Consider the following 20,862-nt stretch of genomic DNA (forward strand, 5'->3'; position numbering starts at 1 on the left):
AGTTTGCTGAGAATGATGGTTTCCAGCTTCATCCATGTCCCTGCAAAGGACATGAACTCATCCTTTTTTATGGCTGCATAGTATTCCATGGTGTATATGTGCCACATTTTCTTAATCCAGTCTATCATTGATGGACATTTGGGTTGGTTCCAAGTCTTTGCTGTTGTGAATAGTGCCACAGTAAACACACGTGTGCATGTCTCTTTGTAGTAGCATGATTTATAATCCTCTGGGTATATACCCAGTAATGGGATGACTGGGTCAAATGGTAATTCTAGTTCTAGATCCTTGAGGAATCACCACACTGTCTTCCACAATGGTTGACCCAATTTACACTCCCACCAACAGTGTAAAAGTGTTCCTATTTCTCCACATCCTCTCCAGCATCTGTTGTTTCCTGACTTTTTAATGATCGCCATTCTAACTGGGGTGAGATGATATCTTATTGTGGTTTTGATTTGCATTTCTCTGATGACGAGTGATGATGAGCACTTTTTCATGTGTCTGTTGGCTGCATAGATGTCTTCTTTTGAGAAGTGTCTGTTAATATCCTTTGGCACTGTTTGATGGGGTTGTTTGTTTTTTTCTTGTAAATTTGTTTGTGTTGTTTGTAGACTCTGGATATTAGACTTTTGTCTGATGGGTAGATTGCAAAAATTTTCTCCCATTCTGTAGGTTGCCTGATCACTCTGATGGTAGTTTATTTTGCCGTGCAGAAGCTCTTTAGTTTAATTAAATCCCATTTGTCTATTTTGGCTTTTGTTGCCATTGCTTTTGGTGTTTTAGTCAGGAAGTCCTTGCCCATCACTATGTGCTGAATGGTATTGCCTAGGTTTTCTTCTAGGGTTTTTATGGTTTTAGGTCTTCGATTATCTTGAAATAATTTTTGTATAATGTGTAAGGAAGGGATCCAGTTTCAGCTTTCTACATATGGTTAGCCAGTTTTCCCAGCACCATTTATTAAATAGGGAATCCTTTCCCCAGTTTTTATTTTTGTCAGATTTGTCAAAGATCAGATGGTTGTAGATGTGTGGCATTATTTCTGAGGCCTCTGTTCTGTTCCATTGGTCTATATCTCTGTTTTGGTACCACCACCATGCTGTTTTGGTTACTGTAGCCTTGTAGTATAGTTTGAAGTCAGGTAGCGTGATGTCTCCAGCTTTGTTCTTTTGGCTTAGGATTGTCTTGGCAATGCGGGCTCTTTTTTGGTTCCATATGAACTTTAAAGTAGTTTTTTTTTCCAATTCTGTGAAGAACGTCATTGTTAGCTTGATGGGGATGGCATTGAATCTATAAATTACCCTGGGCAGTATGGCCATTTTCATGATATTGATTCTTCCTACCCATGAGCATGGAATATTCTTCCATTTGTTTATGTCCTCTTTTATTTCGTTGAGTAGTGGTTTGTAGTTCTCCTTGAAGAGATCCTCCACATCCCCTGTAAGTTGGATTCCTAGGTATTTTATTCTCTTGGAAGCAACTGTGAATGGGAGTTCACTCATGATTTTGCTCTATTTTTGTCTGTTATTGGTGTATGGGAATGCTTGTGATTTTTGCATATTGATTTTGTATCCTGAGACTTTGCTGAAGTTGTTTATCAGCTTAAGGAGATTTTGGGCTGAGATGATGGGGTTTTCTAAATACACAATCATATCATCTGTGAACAGAGACAATTTGACCTCCTCTTTTCCTAACTGAATACCCTTTATTTCTTTTTCCTGCCTGATTGCCCTGGCCAGAACTTCCAACACTATGTTGAATAGGAGTGGTGAGAGAGGGCATCCTTGTCTTTTGCTTGTTTTCAAAGGGAATGCTTTCAGTTTTTGCCCATTCAGTATGACATTGGCTGTGGGTTTGTCATAAATAGCTCTTATTATTTTGAGATACGTCCCATCAATACCTAGTTTATTGAGCATTTTTAGCATGAAGGGCTGTTGAATTATATCGGAGGCCTTTTCTGCATCTATTGAGATAATCATATGGTTTTTGTCATTGGTCCTGTTTATGTGATGGATTACGTTTATCAATTTGTGTATGTTGAACCAGCCTTGCATCCCAGGGATGAAGCTGACTTGATCATAGTGGATAAGCTTTTTGATGTGCTGCTGGATTCGGTTTGCCAGTATTTTATTGAGGATTTTCACGTCGATATTCATCAGGGATATTGGTCTAAAAGGCAATCACGTAGTTTTTACTATTTCCATGATGAATGTCATTGGCATTTTGATAGGGATTGTAAAAATGTCCATAGCACCCAAAACATCTACAGAGTCATAGTCTTTAATAAATCCACATACTTGCAGCTCAATAAGAACAGATGAAGGGGCAGAGAATGAGGAATGATAAAGGAAATCACTTCATGGGAAGGACAGAACCTAATTCTCCCTGGAACTGGGGCAGTGGCTTATAGAAGAATGAGGCTTCTTAGTTCCAGGAATAGCTGAAATAGGGCCACATTGATGATTTTTCTGATTTCCCATTTTGAACTCCTGGAATTCCCTGAGAAACTCAAAGAATCCTCTACTTAGGAGCCTTAGGATATGAAGGTATAGACAGCTTGGGTAAAATAGATAGGTCACATAGTTTGGATATTTTTCCCTGCCCAAATCTCATGTTGAATTGTAATTCCCAATGATGGAGATGAGGCCTGGTAGTGAGTTGTTTTGTTCATGGGGACAGATGCCTCATGGGTTGGTGCTGTCTTTGCAATAGTGAGTGAGTTTTCTTGAGATCTATTCATTTAAAAGTGTGTGGTATATCTCCTCCTACTCTCTCTTTCTCTTGCTCCTGCCATGTGAGATGGTCTGCTAGCCCTACACCTCCCGCTATGATTGGAAGCTTCCTGATTCCTCCCCAAAGGCACATGCCAGCACCATGCTTCCAGTAGAGCCTGCGGAATTATGAGCCAATTAAACCTCCTTTCTTATAAATTATCCAATCTCAGGTATTTCTTTATGGCAATGCAAGAACACACTGATACAGAAAATTGGTACCAAGAAAAGGGCATTGCTATAACATACCTGATGATGTGGAAGCAGCTTTGGAACTAGGTAACAGGCAGAATTTTGAAGAGTTTGAAGGACTCAGAAGACAGGAAGATGAGGAAAAGTCTGGAACTTCTTAGAGTCTGTTTAGATGGTTGGGACCAAAATACTGATAGTGATATGGACAATGAAGTCCAGGCTGACAAAGTCTCAGATGGAAATGTAGAACTTATTGGGAACTGGAGCAAAGGTCATGCATGTTATATCTTAGCTAAGAACTTGGTTGCATTGTGCCCCTGCCCTAGGGATATGTGGAAGTTTGAACTTCAGAGTGATGATTAAGTGTATCTGAAGAAGAAATTTTTAAGCAGCAAAGCATTCAAGAGTTGGTCTGGCAGCTTCCAAACACCTATACTCAGATGTTGGAGCAAAAACATTACTTAATGTTGGAACTTCTATTTAAAATGGAAGCAAAGCATAAAAGTTTGAAAAAAAGGCAGCCAAGCATGTAGTAAAGGAAGAAAAAGCTTTTTCAGTAGAGGAATTCAAGCAGGCTGTGGAGCAACCACTTGCTAGAGATATTTGCATAACTAAAAGCAAGCCAAGTGCTAATATCCAAGACAATGGGAGAAGGGCCCCAAAGGCATTTCAGAGACCTTTATGGCAGCTCCTCCCATCACAGGCCCTGAGGTCTAAGAGGACTGAATGATTTTGTGGACCAGGCCCAAGGCCCTGATGCCCTACGCACCCTTGGGATACTGCTTTTCACATCCCGGCCACTCCAGCTCCAGTCAGGTTTAAAAAGGGGCTCAGGTACAGTTTGAACTACCACTTTAGAGAATGCAAGCTGTAAACCTTGGCTTCTACCTTATGTTAATCCTGTAGGTGCACAGAATGCAAGAGTGAAGTATAGTTGACAGTTGCCACCTAAATTTCACAGGACGTATGAGAAAGCCTGGGTGCCCAGGCAGAAGACTTTTGCAGGGGCAGAGCCCTCTCAGAAAACTTCTACTAGGGCACTGCCAAGGGGAAATGTGGGTTTGGAGCCTCCCACACAGAGTCAGTTCCCAATGGGGCACTGCCTAGTGGAACTGAGAGAAGGGGGCCATTGTCCTCCTTCTGTGGCCAGAATGGTAGATCCACTGTCAGCTTGAACTCTGTGCCTGGAAAAGCCACAGGAATTCAATTCCAACCCATGAGAGCAGCACTGGGGGGTGAACCCTGCAAAGCCACAGGGATGGAGTTGCTCAGGGCCTTGGGATACCACTCCTTGCAGCCATGTGCCATGGATGTGGGACATAGAGTCAAAGGAGATTATTTTGGAGCTTTAAGATTTAATGACTGCCCTACTGGGTTTTAAACTTGCATGGGTCCTGTAGCCCCTTTCTTTTGGCAGATATTTTTTGGGATGGCAATGTTTACCATTTGCCTATGCCTCCATTGTATCTTGGAAGTAAATAACTTGTTTTTGATTTCATGGGCTGATAGGTGGAAGGGACTTGCCTTGTCTCAGATGAGGCTTTGGACTTTGGAATTTTTGTTAATGTTGGAATGAGTTAAGACTTTGAGTGACTGTTGGAAAGGCATGATTGTATTTTACAATGTGAGAAGAACATGAGATTTGGGATAGGCCAGGGTGGAATGATATAGTTTGGATATTTGTCCCTGCCCAAATCTCATGCTGAATTGTAATCCCCAATGCTGGAGATGAGGCCTGGAGATGAGGCCAATTAAATTACCTAGTCTCAGGTATTTCTTTATAGCTACGGAAGAACAGCCTGATACAATAGGATTGCATCTGATGTGTCTCTGCTTCTACAACATCTAGCAAAGCATGCTGAATAATCGAATAAAAGCTTCCTTGCCTAAGCTCTGATGTTAACAATCTGTGCCCTGTCCTTGAATCTCAGTTTCCTCACTGGTTTTGTTACCAGGGGGTTCTTGTTCTTAGAGCTCCCAAGATGGTAGCAGGCCACTTCCAAGATGGCGGCAAGCCTCTTGTTCTCTGACCTGGGGTTCTTGGTCTCACAGATTCCAAGGAATGGAATCTTGGGCCATGTGGTAAGTGTTATAGCTCTATTCAGCTCAATTACGATGAACCCTGGGCACTTAGCCAGTGCAGGAACAATGGCGTGCCTCTAGCCCAATTGGGAGTGGCAATGGGCGCCGCCTTGCTGGATCAGAAGTGCAGCGGACACCCTGCCAGATCCGGAGGGGTAAAGTCAGCAGCAGGTCTGCGACAGCGGCAAACAGCAGTGGTGGACAGTGAGCAAAAGCTCAGTTCCAGCCATAACAAACACGGACCAGAAGAGTGTGCAGTTGCAAGATTTAATAGAGTGAAAACAGAGCTCCCATAAAATGGGAGGGGGCCCAAAGGGGGTTGCCGTTGTCAGCTCGAATGCCTGGGTTTATATCCCGATCATTGTCCCTCCCCTTGTGCTCTCAGGCGATAGTTGATTGGCTATTTCTTTACCTCCTGTTTTTGCCTAATTAGCATTTTAGTGAGCTCTCTTTACTACCTGATTGGTTGGGTGTGAGCTAAGTTGCAAGCCCTGTGTTTTAAGGTGGATGTGGTCACCTTCCCAGCTAGGCTTAGGGATTCTTAGTAGGCCTAGGAAATCCAGTTAGTCTTGACTCTCAGTTTGCTTCCAGAATAAAAATAATGAGTACAAACTCACTTTGAAATTTCAGAATACTACATATACATTATGAATATGTTAGAAATGATATATAGAAGGATTAAATATATATGTGTTACATAACTAACTTCATTGCTGCTTCTTAAATATATACAGATATAGTGTTTAATAGGCTAAAATACTGACAATATTCTTCTTAACATTTTTCTATGTAATAAAAGTGTAAAATATACTTCTATGTTCTATATCAGGCTTAGTAAAACTAGTTTTATTTTTAGTTAAAACCCATGACTTTATATTTTCTTACTCAGCATTTGGGCAAATAAAGGTAGCTCAACGGCATATACCAAGATAAGAGCTCCTGAATCTTCCAATAGGAAATAGGAAAAACAGTTTCTATTTTGATAGAGATTGATAAAGTTTCAGCTATAATTCTTAATATGGAGACTCTTTGAAAGCATTTGTCTTTTTGTTTACATCAGGCATCTGAGGATTCATTCTGTTTTGGAGAGACTATCCCCCAGTGTGCGTCTGGGGGAGAGGAAATGTTCCTTATCCAAATAAGTAAGCCAAAGGAGACAGACACAACTTCTTCCCATGTATGACAAACTAAGGTTCGAGCATGTGCCCTAGACTTGGTCAATAAGATCCTCACCAGAGACTTTGGATCATAAGCATTTCATACTGAGATGTAGAAGTAGTTGCAAAACCTTTCATTGCATTGAGTGCTCAACAGTGATGGTGGCCTTGTGAGCTTACCAATGTTAGGGAGTACACAGTGGCATCAATGTCACCTCTGCTGCTACTGATAGTATGTTAATTAGACTATTCCTGTACCAGGGCTTGGCTGTTCTCCCTTTCGTCTAGCCTCCTTTGGTGCTAATCTGTTTGCTAAAATTGATTGCCAAGTGTTTTTGTGAATTCTGTGAGCTATTTGATATCCATCCACTATATTCTTTTTTCTTTAGTTGGTGGGTATTAATTTTTATTCTGTGCAACAAGACTCTTTCCTTATTCATATACAGATACCTGTCAGAACATGTCTAATTGCTGGTACGTTAATGGCACATATAAAACAAATTCTTACCTTGCTAGTGATCACCTCCCGTGTACTTTACTTACTGTCTACGATTATTTTAAGTCACTAAGAGGCTTTTGAGTAGGTTATCAATGAGAGCTGTAATTATCTTCCAAAGGTTAAAAAAAGCATATATTCTACATCATTCACTGAATAATCACAGTACTGTGGCAAAATCATATATTACAAGCTAGCTATTTACTGTTATAAATTTCATTTTAAAATAGTCAAACATATATATACATAACACCATGAACTTTGGGAAAGAAAAAGGATATCATCCGAGCTGAAAATAAATGAACAAATGTGGTAGGATTATTTAGCATTTCTAAATACCTTTTTATATTACATTACTTTTTAAAACAGACATGTTTCAAAAGAAGACATACATGCAGCCAACAAGCATATGAAAAAAAGCTCAACCTCACTGATCATTACAGAAATGCAAATTAAAACCACAATGAGATACCATCTCACATCAGTCAGAATGGCTATTATTAAAAAATCAAAAAATAACAGATACTAGCAAGGATACAAATAAAAGGGAACACTGATACACTGTTGGTGGGAGCATAAATTAATTTAACCATCGTGGAAAGCAGTATTGCGATTCCTCAAAGAGCTAAAAACAGAACTACCAACCAACCTAGCAATCCCATTATTGAGTTTATACCCATAGGAATATAAATCATTCTGTCATAAAGACACATACACATGAATGTTCATTGCAGCCTTATTCACAATAGCAAAGACACAGAACCAACCTAAATGCCCATCAGTGACAGAATGGACAAAGAAAATGTGGTACATATGCACCACAGAATATTATGCAGCCATAAAAAAAACAAGATTACGTCTTTTGTGGGAATATGGTTGGAGCTGGAGGCTATTATCCTTAGCAAACTAACTCAGGAACAGGAAACAAAAATACCACGTTCTCACAAGTGGGAGCTAAATAATAAGAACTTATGAACACAAAGAAGGAAACAACAGACACTGGGTACTACTTGAGGGTGGAAGGTGGGAGGAGGGAGAGGAGCGGAAAAAAATAACTATTAGGCACTGGGTTTAATATCTGGGTAATGAAATAATCTGTACAACAAACCCCTGTGACTCGAGTTTACCTATGTAACAAAGTTTCACAGGTAGCCCTGAACTTAAAATAAAAGTTATTAAAAAACTATCATATTTTGCAGATGTTATGACTACTTGAATATTTTAAAATGTGCAACATTATTGAAAAATTGAGACATTTTTAGTAATTTGAAAATTTTGATTGTTTTTTCTCTTGATTTTTTTCAAACTATGACATACTTATGCAACACAATATAATTTAATTGTTAGGAAGCAGTTCAGTGAAAATAATAATGAAAAGGCAAACATACAAACAAAAACTTTTGTAGTCAGCAAACTTTTCTTTCAGTTCCCACTTCTCTTTTACCAATTACTTGTTGTGGTTAAACCACCTCACACCTTTGAATCTGGTTGCTTACCTGAAAAAAAAACATATATTCTAACAAAATTACTCTGAGGCCTTTAAACACTAGCTGAGGGAGTATTCTTGAATGTATGGACTGCCAGCTCTTAATTGTTGCAGAAATATTGTTATTGCTATTGCTATTGAAACCAGATTTCACCTAATCATGGATTTAACACATTTTTAAAAATTTATAATTTTTTTATTTTTTGATGTTTTAAATATAATAGGAAAATTGCTGTCTTTATTCTAATGAAAAGTAGTTATTTATCATTTCATTTTCATTTCTTGAATACAATTATTGCTTATTGCTCTTTGGAAGTTATCTGTTATTAACTTACTAGTATGTTGGCTTCTTTTTTCATCAGCCAGAATTGACATTTTATGTGTACAATATAAATGGGATAATATAATCCACAAATCATTTATTCTGCTTTGATTTCAAGTTTATCAACAGAGAAAATGCATTTCACTTAAGTCCAGGAAAAAAATATATCCATGGGCTATAATGAGATTGGCACTAAAAATCAGGGGATCCATTTGAAGTGCCAATTCTGCCCCTGTTTACTTGAGAGATTTATTTTATTTTTCTGAGTGGGTTATGTTTATTTAATTCAAAAAGGTAAGTGGTTAGATTTAATGGTTTTTAAATTTCTTGCCAATTTGAAAGTTTAATAAATATATATTTATATAGCAGATGTTTAGCAAAACAACTACTGTAGTGCCTTTTATTGAAGGGACTAAGTTGGGATTGATGGGACAGAGCATGTGTAAGAATATAACTACATATATGCGATTCTGCTAGAAAGTGGTGATCATCAGTTGGGGTAAGCTAGAGTACAAGTGTTGCAGTGTGATTTGTGAGGAGTGAAGCAGTTCTACCTGGCCTCAGATAAGTTTCTTCCCTTCCTATCCCCAACTGCACTGCTGTTTGAAACTCTCACAATAAAAGTCATAATAGTAAATACACTTAGGGCACCTTTTACCAAGAATGGACTTTGTGAAAATGCAGATTTGGAATTCTGTATTAAAATGAGGACAAGAATTTGGGGTTTCTGACATTCATTTATGGCCATCCATTAACATTATTATTTGTGTAAAAATATTAAATGTTATAATTCCCAGCATTCTGTGGCTAGAAAATGTAGCACAGAGATGAAAGAGCTGGAGTATCTATTTTCAGGAAATATATAGTCTCAGCTACACACAGAAAAGGATGTATTATAGTATTACAGAGCAATATGATAACATGGTAAATTACTTCAGTGTTCAGCACTTAAATTTTTGCCAACTACTAAAAATCCAAAAGACTAAATATGCACTTTACTTCTGAAAAGAAAGAAACTTCATAATGAGGTATCGATAATTCTCATTTAGTCATCAATAAAAGACAAAACAGAAAAACATTTTTTACCTCCTTGACTATTAGTAACTTAGTAAAACTGGCTGTTGCTGAAGGTCTTGAACCTTGTAACATGGCTCACAGTTAAGTTAGGTTTTTGAATTCCTATTATCTGATTCTGTCTTTGGGGGCTGGCTGCAGGAGTTGCCTCAGAAGAAGTCGAAGAGAAAATGACCTCTGAGGAAAGGTCTCTCGCTTAGCTCAGAAAATCTCCACCCTTCTTTAATGAGTCAGGATTCCTGGGTGGATCTTTGGCAAATCAATCCAGGGCCATCTGTTAAAAAGAAATGAAAAAATAACCTGTCTCTTTTCTAGATTATTATGTCTCAGCTAAAGCAATAGGAGAAAAGTTGGACAAAACAAAGTATATCAGAAGAAGAATTAAGAAATAGATGTTGAAATAGCTTAACTTTTTAGTTCAGGAATGCCAAACTAATTTTTCAATCCATAGTTAATGCATTTGTCAACCCCGTGAACTTTACCTTTTACTTAAAATAATGAATATGCATAATTGTAAAAGTCAAATTTCTCTCTAAAGCATAAGGTAAAATACTCCAGTCCATTAATGCCTCCACTTGCATTTCATTGCCCACCTCCAAGAGTACTATTCTCCAAATCCAATTACTGTAACTTCAACTCTTTTAACTGTTTCATCTGGTCTTCATATCCATATATCTAAGTAATGTGCTATAGTGGGCACTTGTGAGGCACCACTTCCTTAGACCACTTAACAGTTTCACACATATTTGCCAGTGTCCAGTATCTAGCTACTCTATACACAAAAAGTCATTCAGCCATAAGCTTGTACAATAATGGAGTGCAGAATTTGATGTCCCCTAAAAACCCTTCAAATAATGAGATGAGCATAAGGACATAGGTGCACAGCTTCCTCATCCTTTGGTGGATAATTCTAAGACATGCCCTGCATGATACCTTAATGGGATATCACCAGAGGGATAGTCTCTGAGTTATTTACAGTAGTAACCAACTTGATAACATGGTAGTTACTGCCAGTTAACACTTCCCTGTCTTACTTTTCCCATAATCTCACTTTTATTTTCTGAGATTGCCTTTCCTATTCACTATATATTCCTAGGTCCTTACCTCTGGTTTGGCTTTCACAGTGAAGCCAAACCAGGACAGCTTGTTACACAGAGTCTGGAAAGCAGCCCTTCATGTTGGGATTCTGGAATTGGGTCACTGCCGAGTCAGATTTCAATAAGGAAAACATACTTGGTAAGTAGGGTGGTGACAATTGTTAATATGCTTCAACATCACATTTCCTGAGACTCCCAGATGTATTACACTGGAATGAGACAGAGATGGAAGAATCAGCACTGATTACAACAATGCTTCTCCAAGTGTAGTCCCTGGACCAGCAGCATTAGAACCACCTGGGAACTTGCTAGAAACACACATTCTTTTCACTTCCCTAGACATATGAAATAGAAATTTGAGGGATGGGGCCCAGAATCTGCTATTTAAGAAGGCTTCTAAGTGACTCAAATGTATGTTAAAGTTTGAGATCCACTATTATACCGGAATCACTTTGAAATTCTGACAATAGTGAAGGACTGGTGAAAATAAGGTGCAGATACTGGGACTGCCTTGGCAAAGTATGAAGGTAAGTGGCTAAACGCTCCAAAAATTGGGCACGTGAGAAAATTGGGCAAAAGTTGGGCCCATCTGTTAAAAGCAAACAAAAAAGTAACCTGTTTTTTTGAGATAAAAATTTGAGTTAAAAAAACTGGGCCCAGTACCTAATGAACTTATTATGTGAGACCAGAAATTGTCTATGTTTCCTAGGTCCTGGGAATTAACTATGTTCCCTACGTGGCCCAGAAGTTATTTCTTTCCCTTAGGCAATTAGAAATGGATGCACTAGTGAGGGGGTATCGGCATAATTGACAGGCTCAATGTAGTTGTCGTGTATAGTATAGGATTGAAGGTAAGAGAAACTACCCTGGAATTAGACTTATTATCAATAGACCTGATATGTTCCCATAATAGGCAAAAGCAAGTGATGATACTTACCCATCAGACACAAAGTAGGTGCAATTACCATTATAGCAAGAAAGAGGTGGCAGTCTTGGTGTTTTAATTTGCAAAGCTCTGTATGATGGCTAATATATTATATTATTTCCAGTGGTGAGAAAGATAGGCTCCTAACTAAGATATTGTTTGACTTGTATAACCAGATTTAAAAAATATTAAAACTAAAAAACTTTTGTAACCAAAAAAAATTCTTTAAAAATAAAAGGCTTTCTACCACCAAGATGAAAAAATCATAATCTCTTGCCGAATTTCTAGATTTGAGCCAAGTGACAAACTCAGGACCTATTGTTCTAAAAGGAGTGTGGCTTTCTCTGAAGAAGGGCTCTGACAGTCTCACTGCAATCACGTACAACATTATCCAAACCTTCCTCTAAAGGACCTAAAGATATCTTGTGATGTAGACACCCAGATCTTTTGAGGGTTGTGGCCTACACAGTTTGAGCTGACACTACCTGTGGACCTGACATATCACCATGCCTCCTCAGTTAGAGAACTATAAAGGCCAGATGATAAATGGAGTTGGGTCCCAAGTTTATTTCATAGTGGTTTCAGTGGGATGGTGGACCCATCCTGTGATCGTTTTTCCAACCCCAAAGTATATAATTGGGGGGATTATACTGAGCAACAGGCAAAACTCCCACATTGCATCTCTAGTTTGTGGAGTAAGAGCTACTATGATAGTAAAAATATTCAACTGGAAGCCCGTAAAATATCCCTCCCCCTTGTTCCCACTCAAGATAGTAAATCGGAAGCAAAACTACATGCCAGGAGGAATTACAGAGTTTGGCACAACCCTCAAAGAATTAACAGGGATGGTTTTCCTCATTGTATCAATGTACATTCCTTCTATTTCATGGCAAGAGAAGTCAAACGGATGTGAAAGAGGATAATGGATTACCCTAAACTTCATAAAGTGTTAGCCCCAACTGCAGTTGCTGTGCCTTATGTAACATCTTCTCTGGATTATATTAACATAGCATTTTACCCTTGGTGTGTGACATTTGATCTAATAAATCAGTAAAAATGATCAGAAATAGTTTACACTTATATGGAAAGATCAACAGTCACATTGTTGTCTATGTCTAAAAGCTATGTTAATTGTCCTTCTCTTTGTCACTATATAGTCTAGAAAACTTTACTATTTATGTTTTGCAGAAAATCATGCTGACCAACTATATTGATGACATTAGGCTAATTTGACATGGTAGACAAGAAATTCCAAGTACTGTGAGTATGCTGACAAGATAATGGCAGACTGTTGTAGAGATAAACCCTATAGCAATCTAGGGCCTGCCATATCAACTTGAGTTTTTTTTAGGGATAAAATGATCTGGAGCATGCCAAGTAAATGAAAGTTATTGGATCTTGAATCTTCTACCACTAAGAAAGAGGCACAGTGCTTTTTGGACCTCTTTGGATTTTAGGGAAGTATATTCTATAATTGAAAGTGGCTCTCTGACCTATTCATTATATGACTGTGAAGACTACCTATTTTGAATGAAACTCTGAGGAAGAAAGGGCTCTGGGGCAGGTCCAGCCTGCAGAGTAACCTTCCCTCCCACTTGGAAATCCTAACAAAATCAAAGATATCCTTGATAGCTAAAGATAGGTAAGTAGGAATTCTACAAGAAATCACCAGCATAATGTTATACGAAATATCAGTATGGATCCCTAGAATCTAGAGGGAGAATAGGCTTTCTGTCCCAAAGAACTACTCACCATTTGAAAATTAGCTACTTGTATGCTATTGAGCTCTGTCTGAGGTCAAGTAACCATGAAAACAGAGCACTGCATCATTATCTGGGTATTATCCTATCTACCAAGTTATGAGGAGTACAAATCCATTTTATGATGGAAATAGTAGACTTGAAATTAGGTCCAAGCTTGCTGGTCCAGAGGGTATAAGTATGTGAATCGATAGCTCACTGCCTCAAATCACCTACCTTTGCTGCATTTTTTGCCTCTCACTCAACTTATAGCAATGACCTTTTGGGGATGGGTCCCTTTAATCAGCTTCAAAACGGGAAAATTCTCAGGTCTGGTTATTGCATGAATCAGCCTAATATGTTGGACTGCTGCAGCACTACAGCTCCACACATGGGGGTCCCTCGAAGACAGTGCTGATCGTCTCCAAAGGACAAAGCTAAGTGAAGTGCCATCAGTTGGTAAGAAACGGCACATATGCTCATCAACTTTGTATGAAAAGGGAATTAACCTGACATAAATGTGTATACAGACTCCTAAGCAGTATTTAATCAACTGGCAGGTCTAACTGGAGCCTGCAAATAACAAGATGGAAAATCAGAGCCAAAGTGGTTTCAGGAAGAGGCATAAAGATAGACTTATGTAGGTCAGCAGAAAGTCTGTGGATCTTTGTGTCTCATATCAGCACACACTAGAGAGGACTGTCAGCAAAAGAGGTATTCATCAACAAGTAAGAAATATGACTCATCTGTCTGGTGTGTGCCAGTCTCAGCCAACCCTGTGCAATGACTCCAAAGTCAGAGGCAGGAATGGGTTCTATGTACAGTCCAATAATATGGGCTTCTTCTCACCAAGTATGATCCAGCTAAAAGCTGCCAAATAGCTAACCTGTCATTGACAGAATAAAGTTACCTTTATCCAAAAATGAAACAAAGATAATGTTCATGGGACAGAAATAGCTTTGGAAAAACAATTGACTGAAATGCCAACTGCAAGTGACTTTTGAAATGATATTTGTTCTAAATGCGGAAAATTGAAGGCTTCCTCTACATGTGAATAAGTAAGTCTTGGCAGTATTACTTGGCAGTACTACTGCTGGAGATTTTTCTAGACCAACGCTTTATGGTTGGGCTCTGCTGGCCTTCGAACTTTGCCTTGATGGCTGTCAGATGATTTCTGACACAAGCAAATCCAAACTATCAGAGAATCATTTCACCCTGGTTCACAAAGCTGCACACCTCTAGCTGTAATCTCATGTGAATGATGGCACTGAACTTGAAAGTTTTGTATGCAAGAAGGTTAATGAGAAAATTGAAACTCCAAAAAATCTTGTTTGGAGAGCTGGTAGTGACAACACCCGATTTTGCTTTACTACAGTATACAAGCTGGATTATAGATCTTCTGCATTTGGTAGAGTAACTCATGCCAGTCTGAATGCACACGGGTATACTGAAACCTTTCCATCAGGAGTCAAAGTGATCCTGTCAGCTTAAACTGATGGGAAAAACTTCCATGCAGAAGGTTATAAGGTCGGGTTAAGATTTGAACTGGAAGCTTAATGGATTTTGAGTAAAGCATTGCATTCGACCCTGCAGGTTAAGAGAAATGAACCCACAGTATATTGGCCTTAAAATTCTGTAGTATTTCAAATGGGAAAAGTTTTTAGTCTGTAAAATAACTATAGTTCTCCCCGTAATGAAGTCTTGGGATGGCAAGTCAATTCTAGAAGACACACTTGAAAGCACACATGGCAACTGTAATATTTGTGACATGTTTCACTTCAGTTCCTCAGTGTTATTTTATATGTGTTCAAATGACAGTATAGAATCATGTTGTAAAGGAAATGACCCAATTTGCCACTTTGTACTTCATGTACTTCAGTTTTCATGATCTTTAAATATATTGTTGTTTGTACTATAGTTGAATTTAAGTTACTATATTTGAATTTAATTTTGTACCAAAATAAAATAAATACATCACATTTGGGTCACAGTTGCCCATAAAAATATAATTCAGACATGTCTTATTCTGGCCAAGATGTAGCAACAGGTACCAAAATTGCCTGTAGCCTGAAATAACTAAATACCATAAATAAATACATAAATAAATAAATAATAAAATGATACTGATCAGTCTATATGTGTGAAGAAACTTAGCTAAAGCCAACAAATGGACTGCTTGATGTGATTAAAGGGAATGATCTCTGGGAATTTCACAGGGCTGGAAGTATTTCTGTTTCAAGCAGCTAGAGATCAAAACTTCATCAAACCCATGGGGCATAGGATAAGCACCCAGAGAATTTTGCCTCAGGAGTAGGGAGAATTAGCTGCATGCTAAACACTGTTGCATTTCTAATGAAAAAATATAAAATAAAAACAAAACCCAAAAAGATAAAACTGTTTTAATGTAATATAACCATAGTGCAGAGCAACACTAACAAATTAACACCTAACAATGTACAATTTCCAATGTTTAGTATCCAATACAAAAATTATTAGGATTCAAGAAACTAGGGAAATACAATCTATAATGAGTAGAAAAATCGATTATTTGAAACTGATCCATTAAATGGAACAGATGAAAGAGTAAGCATAGAAGGATATAATGACAGTTATAATTGTATTCTATGCATTCAAGAATCTAGAAGATATGTTGAACCTGTTAAATAGATACATATGATACATGAAAGACCTAAATTCAATTTCTAGAGGTAAAATTACAATGTCTGAAATAAACAATACACTGGACCTGCTTAATGGAATATTGGGACATATTAGACATACATAGAAAAAGTTTAGTGAACTTGAAGGCACAGCAGTAGAAACTATCCCAAATGAAACCCGGAAAGAAAAGTGAATTAAAAAAAAAAAACAAAAAAACGAACAAAAACAGTGGATTGGTGAATAGCAACAATTTGAAGCACCCCAACATACATGTAATTAACATTCCCAAAGCAGAGAAGAGAGGGGGGAAGGCAGAAAAAATGTAAGAATACTTATAAAAACATTTATTTCCAATTTTAATAAATGTTATAAACCCACAGATCTAGGATGCTCAACGAATCCCAGTCACGATAAACATGAAGATCTATACCAAGTCACATAGTAATGAAATTGCTTAATACCAGTGATGAAGAGAAAAACTTGCAAGCAACAGAGGAAAATAATACACACACACACACACACACACACACACACACACACACACACTCACATACCCCACATGCCAAGGACCAAAAATTAGGATTGCACCAGATATCCTGTTGGAATCATTGCAAACCAGCAAACAGTGGAACAATATTTTTAATGTGCTGAAAGAGAAATATTTGCCAACTTAGAATTCTAGACTCATTTCAAAAATTAAGACAAAATTAAAAAGAAAAATGGACATCAAAGGTAAAATAATTCATTACCAGAAAAAAGAAATGTCAAAATCATTTTTGGGGGACAGAAGGAAAATGATACTAGATGAAAATCTGGATCCACACAAAGCAATGGAAAATGCTGGTAATTACCTAGAAAAATGAAATTGACTGTTTTCTTAATATTTAAATATTTTTGAAATAAAATAGATGAAGGACAAATAATGGAGTGTAGGGTTTATAACACAGGAAAATGTAAAATGTATGGCAACAATAGTACAAAGGTTAGGATGGAAGACATGAATTCACCCTTAGAGTCTTGGAAGGAGCATGGCCTTGCTTAATTTCATACCTCTAGCCTCCAGAACTGTGAAAGAATAAATTTCTGTTGTTTTAAGTCACTAAATTTGTGGGAATTTTTAATGGTAGCCTCAGGAAACATGGAATGCGTGTTTCAAAGTAGTGGTTAATTTTTTCCATATACGTCTCTATTTTGTCGAAAGTTTCTAAAATCATTTTGCTTATTTTTCGTTTTCTATTGTTAAAAAGTTCATTTACAAACTTTTATTCCACTTACATTTATTTAATTAACTTGTTCTTCACAATTATGCTTAGATTACTTAAAAATCTTAAATAGGATATTAGACAAAGGTCATCATCTCAAGGTATTTCCCTGTCAATTATTTTTACAGTATCTGCATGTTAGGCAAGGATCACAAAAGTAAGAATGTAGAAAGTTGAATAATTGGGGTTTTGTTTTATTGTCGTGCTTTATATACATACATCGATGGACACTGCACTTGTGCATTTGTTCTTAGGTTGAACCCATTATCTTAGGATTTTAAACGTCTAATGGAGAGAGAAATCGTGTGTTTGCCTTCTGTATAATTCTGACAACTCTGAAGGCATGACCATTTTAATTAACTAACAATATTCTTATTTATCGAAGTTTACTGAAGTAACATGAACTTGAAAAACATTTAGTTTATGTGATAGTTAATATTGTGTCAACTTGATTGGACTGAAGGATGCAAAGTATTGTTTCTGGGTGTGTCTGTGAGGGTGTTGCCAGAGGAGATTAACACTGGCGTCAATAGACTGGTAGACGAACACCCACCTTCAGTGTGGGTGCGCACCATCCAATTGGCTGCCAGTGTGGCTAGAACAAAACGGGTGGAAGAAGGTGGGATAAGCTGGCTTTCTGAGTCTTCCGGCTTTCATCTTTCTCCCATGCTGGATACTTCCTGCTCTTGAACATCAGACACCAGGTTCCTTGAGCTTTGGACTCTTGGTTTGCCTGGGGCTCTCAGGCCTTCGGCCACAGACTGAAGGCTGCACTGTCAACTTCTCTACTTTTGAGGCTTTGGGACTCAGACTGAGCTACTCCTAGCTTCCTGGCTCTTCAGCTGCAGATGGCCTATTGTGAGACTTCAACTTGTGATTGTGTGAGTCACTTCTCCTTAATAAACTCCCTTTCATATATACATGTATCCTAGTAGTTCTCTCCCTTTGGAGAACCCTGACTAATACAGATTAGTTTGCATTTTTCTTTCTTTTTAAAATCTATTTTGGCCTTTATTAAATGAGAAATAAATTTTTATAATATTTGGACCACCATACATCTGAAGTGTTTTTACAGCAGCTAGCATCATGTTAATATAAACGCTATATCTGGCCCTATTACATTGGATACCAAGTCCTTAAGTGATGCTTCTTTTTTTTTGGTGTTTTTAAGTTTTTATCTTTTTCAACTTTTTTTTTAGATTCAGCAGGGTACATAAGTGACATTTATGCGGATTCAATTATGGTAAATATAGCATGCTAGGGTGATTTCATTTTACCTGCGGGGGATTGTGGAACGTTGCAGATTCAGAAATACTAACTAATAGTGCAAGCAAGGCAATCTCAAACTGTTCTGGAGATTAACACAATTCTTAGGGAATTCATGTAGCTCTCTAAGTAATATCAGAGTCCAGCAATCAAACAATAGTTTACCCTGCAATAAAGAGCACAAAGGCAGACGATTCAAGAGCAAATGAAACTTGAAGTATCTGGGGAAAGAGACTAGAAACTGTATACTTACCTGGGCTTTGATATGACAAGCTTTTTTCTTTGCTTCAAGAATGATTTAGAGTCACTTTACTCAAGCCTGAGAGAATCTCAAAAATAAACTTTAGAGATTAAGAATAGGTGGATAAAAGAAAAAGCAGAATCTAGTTTCAGCTAGTTTAAATTACCTTATACTTTGTTCTAAATTACTTATCTAATATTTAAATAAGTGGTTTAGGCTGGGGGCGGTGGCTCATGCCTGTAATCCCAGCACTTTGGGAGGCCGAGGCTGGTGGATCACGAGGTCAGGAGATCAAGACCATCCTGGCCAACACGGTGAGACCCCTCCTCTACTAAAAATACAAAAATTTAGCTGGGTGTGGTGATGCGTGCCTCTAGTCCCAGCTACTTGGAAGGGTGAGGCAGGAGAATCGTTTGAACCCTGGAGGCAGAGGTTGCAGTGAGCCAAGATGGGGCCACTGCATTCCAGTCTGGCGACAGAGCAAGACTCCGTTTCAAAAAAATAAATTAATTAATAAGTGGCTTAATAGTCTAAATGTTTTGCTTTGCTATTCTAACACAAAATTCCACTTGTATGGGAAACATCTAAATAGGATGGAAAGATTTGAAACATGAAACAAAACCCAAGGCATCTCCATGAATCTGTTGACTGAAAACCAAAATCCGGATCAACACATCTACAAGGTAATAGCCTCTGGAGCACTGGCTTTACACATTCAAGTCTGTTGTTGGTAAATATTACAACCAACTCCAAGTAGTTTATAAACTAAGAAATATAAAATGCAGTCATTGTCCTCTGGGAAAAAAAAATCTAGGAACACTGGGAATTGAGTTTTCTGCATGACTTTGATACATTGCATATTAATGTGATTTTGATAAGGAATTTCAGGAAAGAAAAAAATTACAGGCCACTTTGTTAACCTGGCATTCATTTACCTCATGAAAAATTCATGAAATTATAATACGCAAGTAAATTCTAAGTAACTCTTAGATTAATTTAAGTTGATTAATCCTAGATTCACTCAATTCTAAAATCTTTTCACGTGAAATATGTCTCATATACATGTCATATTCTCTTCCATATTAAGCTAAATTACTTTAATTTATGTAAATCCAGATGTGTTTGAAGTGTGATTGAGGCCATATATTTTAATTCAGAGGATGATTTTTGGCACTTAGTCCTATGTAAGATATTTTCTGATGTGCCAGGTAAAGGATACATGATGAGAAAATTTCAATTATGTCCATTTCTCCCTATTGAATTTTATCTTCACATTCCATTTATTAGCACAGGCATTGAATGGAAATGAATTTCAGAAAATAATTAAATATTTTATTTCACGTCAGCTTTTCATATCACGCTTCCTCCTTGTTGACAATAGTCTTCAGATGCAAATGTGCATGTGTAATCCAGAAATTAGCTGTCATCACTACCTGTAAAGGTTTAGATCACATTATTTACGTTACTTTCTCTACATTTCTGAGAAATCTCAGGAGGACTTTGCATCATCGTGGTCCCTTCTGGCTCTATTTTCCTGCTTCTGCTTAACTTGCTTAGGTAATAGATTATCTTGCTTTTCTCCATCTGCAGTTTCTATTTGGCCTCACATGGACCCAGATGTGGAACTGGGACCATTTTTTAAATGTTCACAAAAATAACCTTTCCCATTTAATGTTTGCAATTACTTTTGCACCAACCAATAAGTGTGAATTGCCTCATGCAGGATTCAGCTGAGGGGAGGAGGCAGGGGTCACATCTTTCAAACACTAACATCTTTGTAATGAAAGTTGAGCATCCTGTCCCTCAGCAAGCGGGTATTTGTTTCTTTCTGTCTGCGAAATGCCCTTTAACAAGTTTTTGTCTGCCCTTTATCATATCTCTCTTCTCCACATTCTTCAGCCCTTCTCACACAACCAAGTAAAAGGTTGCATTTTCATATTTGGACCCAGGGAATGGCTTGAGATGTTCTAAGTTTAGGAGGTTTGTAAAGTCATTAGACTGGCATAAACATAAATGATGACAGAAGAAAATCCAGCACTTCAATATATGGAAGACAGGAGCCAGCAACGGAGACAGAAAAAGTAAACATGG

At 37.7% G+C, this 20,862-nt stretch overlaps 1 pseudogene, besides 1 other annotated feature; it reads left to right on the forward strand.

The window, feature by feature from the left end:
• Positions 3,329-3,877: an enhancer, noted in NCBI's record as "OCT4-NANOG hESC enhancer chr7:80809759-80810307 (GRCh37/hg19 assembly coordinates)". NCBI's record gives its function as "activates a minimal SCP1, AML or CMV promoter by ChIP-STARR-seq in primed H9 embryonic stem cells {active_cell/tissue: H9 hESC(primed)}" and the evidence as "EXISTENCE:reporter gene assay evidence [ECO:0000049][PMID:30033119]".
• LOC100420647 (voltage dependent anion channel 3 pseudogene) lies at positions 14,247-14,895 on the forward strand (annotated as a pseudogene).

This window comes from Homo sapiens, chromosome 7 (genome assembly GCF_000001405.40).
Source record: "Homo sapiens chromosome 7, GRCh38.p14 Primary Assembly".
Taxonomy (NCBI): Eukaryota; Metazoa; Chordata; class Mammalia; order Primates; family Hominidae; genus Homo; species Homo sapiens.